The 8,978-nt window shown below is 41.7% G+C and overlaps 1 non-coding gene across 1 annotated transcript, besides 1 other annotated feature; it reads left to right on the forward strand.

Moving 5' to 3' along the window:
* Positions 2,777-3,276: an enhancer, noted in NCBI's record as "H3K27ac hESC enhancer chr10:115580091-115580590 (GRCh37/hg19 assembly coordinates)". NCBI's record gives its function as "activates a minimal SCP1, AML or CMV promoter by ChIP-STARR-seq in naive H9 embryonic stem cells {active_cell/tissue: H9 hESC(naive)}" and the evidence as "EXISTENCE:reporter gene assay evidence [ECO:0000049][PMID:30033119]".
* LOC124900297 (small nucleolar RNA SNORA17) lies at positions 2,904-3,035 on the forward strand. The gene has a single exon (XR_007062405.1). It is a non-coding gene; the product is annotated as a small nucleolar RNA SNORA17 (small nucleolar RNA).

The following is an 8,978-nucleotide window of genomic DNA, read 5'->3' on the forward strand; positions in this document are numbered from 1 at the left end:
TTTAGAGCCCACCTTCATGCTGTATCGGCAGCATTTCTTACTGCTGATCGTCCCTTATTCTGTGACAGCAGATTGTCCCTCCTGCCTCTCTGCTGCTCCTTTGTCTTCTCCTCCATAGGCCCCTGTCCTTTAATTTTGGAATTGCTTGGAGGTTCTGTCGTATCATCTCTCGTCTCTCAATGCTATATACTGTTTTTGTTTTTATTTTGTTTTGTTTTTTGAGACACAGTCTCACTCTGTCACCCAGGCTGGAGTGCAGTGGCACAATCTCAGCTCACTTGCAACCTCCACTTCCTGGGCTCAAGCAATTCTCTTGCCTCAGCCTCCCAAGTGGCTGGGATTACAGTTGCCTGCCACCACACCTGGCTAATTTTTGTATTTTCAGTAGAGACAGGGTTTTACCATGTTGGCCAAGCTGGTCTTGAACTCCTGGCCTCAAGTAATCCACCCGCCTCAGCCTCTCAAAATGCTGGGATTACAGGCATGAGCCACCATGCCTGGCCTATAGTGACCTATTACTCTTCTAATAAAGTATTATTCACCCTCTGCCTAAAGGTACCATCCGTATGCTGAGGACCCTTAAGCCTATCCCTTGCCAAGATCTTCTAGACTTGGACAGCCAACTGCTCATTGATTACCTTCCCTGGAATGAACACCAGGCATCTACAACCCAGCAGGTCCAGAGTATCTCCTTCTACCCACACTGGTCCTCCTGTCATGCTCAGTGAACAACCTGTGGTTCACCAGGCAACCTGGCCAGACTTCCAAGCCGCATCCTTCATCATTTTTTCTTCTTAAGATCACAAATATTTCCTGAGTGTCAATATGCACCCGCACTGTGCTAGGCAGGCCCAGGACAGAGTACTAAACAAGGTCAAAGTGGTCCTTGCCCTCATGGAGCTTATAGCCTTGGAGCCTTCTTCGCTTCCGCCAAGACTGCCAACCCTCTGCGCTGTTCTGCAGACAGTCCTCTTCTCTCTGACCTGACTGCTGCTTTCCTGTTTTAAGCATCCATCATTTCTTGCCTTGATTGACTTAATAGCTTCCTAATTATTTTTCTGATTCCAAGCTCGCTTTTTAAAGCCATTTTCACAAATCTGCCTAAAAACAATCTTATACCACTGCTGCTAAACATACTTCACTGGCTCCTTACTGTTCTTAGGATAAGGGCAAAACTCCTCACTAAGTGGCTAAAAAGAAGGATTGGACAAAGGCCCGTAGGAGTTCTGGGAAGGAAGACACTGTGTTGTCCCTTCAAACCTGAAGTCTTTTAGTATTCATTCAACATTGTTAACCAGGAAACACTGGTTCTATTAATAAAAATAGCATATTCATTTATATCTAAAGTTAGGAATTGGCTGTATGCATGAACTATAAAAGCATCTTTTTAAAGCTGTGTGCTTCATACATGTATAAAAATTGAGTCTTGCTCTACATATGATATACTGTCATATTATAGATGTCATTCCATGTCATTAAGCATTCTTCTACCATATCATTTTAATGACTACAGAGTATTTATTTATTTACTTATTTAGACATGGAGTCTCACTCTGTTGCCCAGGCTGGAGTGCAACGGCACAATCTCGGCTCACTGCAACCTCCGCGTCCCAGGTTCAAGCAATTATCTTGCCTCAGCCTCCCGAGTAGCTGGGATTAAAGGTATGCACCACCGTGCCTGGCTAATTTTTGTATTTTTAGTAGAGATGGGGTTTTGCCATGCTAGCCAGGCTGGTCTGGAATTCCTGACCTCAAGTGATGCGCGTGCCTTGGCCTCCCAAAGTGCTGGCATTACAGGCATGAAGCCACCGTGTGTGGCCTCTTAATTATTTCTTAAATTTGGTCTTTTCCAAAATAATATATGCACAAGTTTAAAAATCTAATAGTATCAAAAGGTTTTTTTTAAAAAAAAAAAAAAAAGCAGTCTGTCTCACCTGTTCTCACTTCAGCCCTGATCCCCAGAAGCAACCACTTAAGAATATTTTAGCTGTTGCTTTTCCGAATGTATGTCTGTATGTCCGAACAGTGTGCGTATGTCACTTTTTACTGATTTATTTACTTTATCTACTGACCTCTCATCTACTGAATTCCCATCTGATGTAGTCAATCGCGCAGCAAATATATATTGCGCACCCACTATGTGCCAGGCACTGTTCCACGCATTAGGAATCCAGCAATGAGCAAGACAACAAGGTCACTGCATTCATGAAACTTATAATCTAGGAGAAAGACAAGTAAAAAGCAAACAACGAAATAAAACGATTCCATATACTGCTGTGTGCTATCAAGAAAATAAAAGAGTGACAGAGATTTAACCGCCTGACTTTCAGTAGAGTGGTCAGAAACATTTCTCTAAGGCGATGTCGGAGTTGAGCCCCTAAATGATAAGCAGGGCCTGCCATGTGAAGCTCTATGGGAAGTGCCGTGATAGGCATCAGCACATGTAACAGAGACCCTCTAACAATGGCATAAGCAAGTAAGTTTATTGTTTGCCTCATGTGGTAGCCTGAGGATAGGCCATCCAGGGACCCAGCCTCCTTCAGTCCTTCATCTGTAAGGTCCCAGGTGGCTCCACCACCTCTGTGTTCCAAACAGCAAGACGGAGGAAGAAGGAGAAGGGCAGTTCTTGATAAGGACACAACTCAGCAATTTCCCATCTCTTCTGCTCACATCTTTTTGGCCAGACCTTAGTCACATAAGCACACCTAGCTGCAAGAGAAACTTGAAATGTAATTTCTATTCTGGGCAGCTACATGCCGAGCGAAAATTCTCTTACTGTGGAAGAGGAGGAGAACACTATCCGGAACCAACTGATTTTCTGCCAAAAGAACATTTTACACAGAGGAAAGATTGAAGGCAAAGGCCCCGAGGAAAGAAAGTACTTGACTTGTTAAAGAGAAAAAACTGCCCCTGGAGGCATTGCAGATGTGGCTGCTGTGTCACATTTGTGTCATTAGGTAGCAGCGATTAGAGAGGCTATGTCTATGCTCAGCGTTCTGTCCCATGAACATTTGAATGTTTAATAGTCTGACTCTCCTGTTTTGTGGACTTGGCATCTGTTTTCCTTCACCGGTATCTGGGAGAGTGGGTGGGCCTTATGAGTGGGCTTTCTGACCCTCGCGCTGGGCTGGGCTGGCCACTAGGGGTCTGAAGGGACAGTGGGAAGGTAGAGGGTGCCTTCACCAGGAGCAGCCTTCATTAGTGAGTTTTAAGAGCCTGTGAGAGGATGGATCAGGTCTGGTGTGTGCTGGTTCATGCTGCACACCGTGTCAGGATCACGAAGGAAAGGACTGGGGAAGGGTTTGCTGGTGTCTCAGTTAATAGCAATAACGGCAGCCACTATTGTGTTCTTGATTCTGTGCCAAGCATTCTTGTTATTTAAAAAAAGAGAGAGAGAGAAGTCCAGGTCACTGAACAGAGGTTAAAGAAGGGGAGAGTGGGAGGATCTTAAATCAGGTAGCAGATAGGACTGAACAATGCAGAGATTTTAAAACCAGGCTAAGGAATTTCCATGAGAGAGTTTTCAGCGGCTAACTGATTCGACCGTTCTCTCTCATATCTACCTCTTTCCCATTTCTTAATAGCATTACAGCCTTAATTTTGACTAAATTATTAATCACTATTTACACGGTGGATACAGAACATCTGAGATAGGTCTCAGTTAATTCAGAAAGTTTTTTTTTTTTTTTTTTTTGCCACGATTGAGGACCTGGGCCCATGACACAGCCTCAGGAAGTGCTGACGACGTGTGCCCAAGGTGGTCAGGGCACAGCTTGGTTTTACACATTTTAGGGAGGCAGGAGACATCAATCAATACACGTAAGAAGTACATTGGTTCGGTCTGGAAAGGCAGGACAACTTGAAGCAAAGGCAGGAAGACTCAAAGCAGGGAGGGGCCTTCTAGGTCACAGATAGGTAGAGACAAGTGATTGCATTCTTTTGAGTTTCTGATGAGCCTTTCCAAAGGAGGCAATCAGATATGCATCTATCTCAGTGAGCAGAGGAATGACTTTGAATAGAATGGGAGGCAGGTGTGCCCTAAGCAGCTCCCAGCTTGAGTTTTTCCTTTAGCTTAGTGATTTTGGGGGCCCAAGGTATTTTCCTTTCACGACCTCATCATTAGTATATAAATATTGTTCACTGCAGAAAAAAGTAGCATGCTGAGATTACATTTCTTTTTCTACACAACTCTTAGCTTGCCTCAAGTTAATAATATCCTTTGTTTCTCACACACAGACAAAACTACAGAATAAGTGGCTTGATAGGTGATATGGTGGGGAATCGGGAATGAATTGAAGCTGTGATTTGTGTGCATATCAGCTTCAACTCACTCCAGATTGTCCATTATGTCACCTACCAAATAGCTTATTCTGTAGTTTTTTCTGTTTTCCAAAATCTAGTTGAAATCTCTCATCGATTGATGCCTCCTCTACTATCTTATCCTTGTGAACGTATTCCTTTTTAATATCTTCCCTGCCATGTTAATGAATCTTGGCATGAAGAGGAGGAAAATAAGCATTATCTATGTACCAATTTAATTGAAATTCTATTAACGTTTTAGCTTAAGAATTCTCCTATTTAACAGTGACTGTTAACCTTGTAATATACCTTATGAGACTCCCTTTTGACATTTTTTGAGGCTACAGAAAAGATTTAAATGGCTTTCCACATGTCTTTGTGAAATGGTAGTTTCTTTGAATATGACTGAATGACAGGAGGAGATGATGAGGTGGCTTGGTTTCAATGGGGCTGTCCTTCTCCTTATCATTCAACTCCCAGCTTTGACATCACCTCTGCCCACACCATTCTCCTTCCGCAGCAATGAATTATGATCTGCTCACTTCTTTGTATAGTCCACTAGCCCTTTAAAAGCTAGCATCTCTGTCTTTTTGGTTGTTTTTCTTTTTGAGATGGAGTCTCACTCTGTGGCCCAGGCTGGAGTACAGTGGCGCGATCTCGGCTCGCTGCAACCTCCACCTTCTGGGTTCAAGCAATTCTCCCGCCTCAGCCTCCCGAGTAGCTGGGACTACAGACTGGTGCCACCACGCCTGGCTAATTTTTGTATTTTTAGTAGAGACAGGGTTTCACCATTTGACCAGGCTGGTCTCAAACTCCTGACCTCATGATCCGCCCATCTCGGCCTCCCAAAGTGCTGGGATTACAGGTGTTAGCCAATGTGCCTGGTCTTTTTGGTTGTTTTTCAGCTGCTCACCTTATTGTCCGAACTATTTCAGTGAACACTTAAATATTTCTTGCAAGTATGGATTCTGTCCAACTCTTCCCTGAGATGAAGGTTTTACTCACAATCATCTTTGATTTTTTTTAAAGATATAATTGCCATTCTTAGCTTTTATCGCCCCTGTGAGTATCCCAGTTGTGCTTGTGTTTAAAATTCCACCTCAGAGCTGGGCACGGTGGCTCATGCCTGTAATACCAGCACTTTGGAAGGCCGAGGCAGGTGGATCGCTTGAGGTCAGGAGTTTGAGACCAGCCTGGCCAACATGGTGAAACCTCATCTCTAGTAAAAATACAAAATTAGCCAGGCACGGTGGCGCATCTGCAGTCCCAGACACTCGGGAGGCTGAGGCAGGAGAACTGCCTGAACCCCCTGGGAGGTGGAGGTTGCAGTGAGCGGAGATAGTGCCACTGCGCTCCAGCCTGGGCCACAGAGTCAGACTCCATCTCGAAAAATATATAAATAAACAAATAATAAAATAAAATTGCACCTCAAATGCTACCTTGTCCCTGAAGATTTCCCAAAGGAATGAATCTAAGTTCCCTGTCCTCTGTCCGTCACAGTGTCTTACACATAACTACCATTCAGCAAATGTTTCCTGAATAAACTAAGTCACCTGATGAGGATTCAAATAAACTTTGTTTTTTATGTTATATATTTTAAAACATTTTCAAGCTTCTATCACTAAATTAGATGAAAAGGCTACCACTGTTAACATCAAACACCAAGCTGATATGTAGCAAAAGGATATTTAATGTTTTCCCCAACTGTTTATTTGGCACAGCAACGATAATGTAACCAAACCCATCTGTTTCCTCTCGTCCAGGGATTTCAAACGCTGACCAAAAACGCTTTGTGCTGAACTTCTAATGACTCCTGACTTATCTTACCTGTTCTTTGTCAAAAACCTGTTAAAAATTTTAATACATATGAATAAAGTACTAGGATACAACCTGGAATAAGAATAGAGTTCTTATATAAAAGTCAAGACCTTGGAAACAAAAAGATAAGTTTCTTGGCTGCTTATCTATTCGCATGACATGTGAATAGCTGGGTTGTTTAAAACTCTATGCTTTTACTATGTATGTTTTAAAAAACTTGATCTTAACCAGGAATTATATAATTATAGACTCTGAGCTAAAAGTAACTCAAATAATTTATCAATTTCATTATCCAACTTTCAGAGAAGATCTATAAGAGCCTGCTGCAATTTTAAAGTTTAAAAACTAAAGATTTACATTTTATATATTCACATCAACACTTTTTAAAAATGACATTGCTTATTCGAGGTCAGCTGATGTTATCTACCTTGATATTTAAAACTCCCCTATCTCAAGTTTTCCATTCCAACTGACAATTATGAATTCATTTTCATTACTTTCTGCAATCTGGAGCAGTAACTGTCCTACCTGCACTGCATACAACCACTTCATGACACCTGCAATGCTGCTGTGCCTTTTAACTTTACCCTATTATTAATTCAAATAATTCTCATTGAAACAAAATTGTAGGCTTCCCATGATTAAACATCATAATCATATAGCAATTCAAGGCCAAAGTCTATAAAACTATTTTGCTTGGGTTTAAATAATACATTTTAGAACATCCATTTAATTGAGCTTTCTATACATTGTTCCCTTTCAAAACAGTTAGTGAAGAGATACTCAACATCAGTAGTCATTAGGGAAACGCAGATCAAAACTACAATGAGATACCACTTCACACTCACCAAGATGTCCACAAGCAAAAACAATAACAAGTGTTGGTGAGGATGTGGAAAAAATGGAACTCTCATACATTGCTGGTGGGAATGTAAAGTGATGCAGCACTTTGAAAAACAATTTGGCAGTCCCACAAAAAGTTTAAAGTTACCATATGACCCAGCAATCCTACTCCTAGGTATATATCCAAGAGAAATGAAATGTATATCCACACAAAACCTTATACACCAATGTTCATGGCAGCATTATTCATAATAGCCAAAAAGTGGAAACAACCCACATATCCACCAACAGATGAACGGGTAAACAAAATGTGGCATTTTCAAGCAATTCAATATAATTTGGCCATAAAAAAGAATGAAGTACTGACACATGCCACAACATGGACGAACCTTGAAAATATGCTAAGTGAAAAAAGCCATGTGTTATATAATTCTATTATAAGAAATGTCTGGAACAGTTAAATCCATACAGGCAGAAAATTAGTTGTTGCCTAGGACCAAAGAAGGCAGGTGGTAGGGAACTGGGGCATGACTGCTAATGGGTCCAGGGATTCTTCTTTTTTTTTTTTGAGATGGAGTCTTGCTCTGTCACCCAGGCTGGAGTGCAATGGCGCGATCTCGGCTCACTGCAACCTCCACCTCCCAGGTTCAAGCGATTCTCCTGCCTCGGCCTCCCGAGTAGCTGGGACTACAGGGGTGCAACACCACACCCAGCTAATTTTTGTATTTTTAGTAGAGACGGGGTTTCACCATGTTGGCCAGGATGGTATCAATCTCCTGACTTCGTGATCCACCCGCCTCAGCCTCCCAAAGTGCTGGGATTACAGGCGTGAGCCACCGTGCCCAGTCTAGGGATTCTTTTTGGATGATAAAAGTATTCTAAAACTGATTGTGGTGATGGTTGCTCAACTCTGTAAATATAATAACAACCAATGAGTCGTACAGGTTAAATGTGTGAATCGTATGGTATGTGAATCATTTCTCAATAAAACTGTTTTAAAAACATTTTAAAATAGAGTTTGGGGGCCGGGCACACGCCTGTAATCCCAGCACTTTGGGAGGCCGAGGTGGGCGGATCACCTTCGGGAGTTCAAGACCAGCCTGGCCAACATGGCGAAACCCCGTTTCTACTAAAAATACAAAAGTTAGCCAGGCATGGTGACGTGCGCCTGTAATCCCAGCTACTCAGGAGGCTGAGGCACGAGAATCGCTTGAACCCGGGAGACAGAGGTTGCGTGAGCCGAGATCACGCCACTGCACTCCAGCCTGGGAGACAGAACAAGAATCCGTCTCAAAAAAAAATAGAGTTCAGCACTCTCCACAGATAAAAGATACTAATAAAAAAAACTGGCTGACTTAGCAAACAAGGATATTTGGGCTTTATTCCCTGCTTCCAGATACTGTTGCTTTTAGTTTATTTTACAATTTTATCTGTTTATCCCATGTGATATGTAATCAGAGCTCAGGGCTTCAGCAGGAAATTTGTAACAGTCCTTTCAAACAAACTTAAAAAACAGTTTAGTAACATTATCTAATGGTGTATTAAAGCCCTGCTTTGATGCCATTTTATGATCTTAAGCACTTGCTTTCCATGTTGAAATAACAGAAGGGCTTATACAGATAATGAAATTTGACTTCGCTAAACTTCCTTTTCCTTTGAAAAAAAAAAAAAGCCTATCATATTTGGGACAAAGTGGTGTTTCTGAATCTCTACATAATCTACTATAGTTCTACCAGGATTTAAACCCCGCAAATTCAGTCTGAAACGCAGAAGTAGCACTTATGTAAAACCAAGTTTGATTTAAATCAAATAAGTTGTTTAAAGATCAGTCCAATTCATCACTTACGACTTTACATACCGTTTTGTTTCTAAATTAGTTTCCTGTGTGTTCTATTTCACCAACTAGATCATACAATTTCAATCTACCCTAAATCTCAGGCTTCTCAAGATATGAAACCACACAGATTAATTTCTTAAGTATTTTATATATATTAGCTTTTGTCCAGCCTCCTAAGGAA

This window comes from Homo sapiens, chromosome 10 (genome assembly GCF_000001405.40).
Source record: "Homo sapiens chromosome 10, GRCh38.p14 Primary Assembly".
NCBI classification, from domain to species: Eukaryota; Metazoa; Chordata; class Mammalia; order Primates; family Hominidae; genus Homo; species Homo sapiens.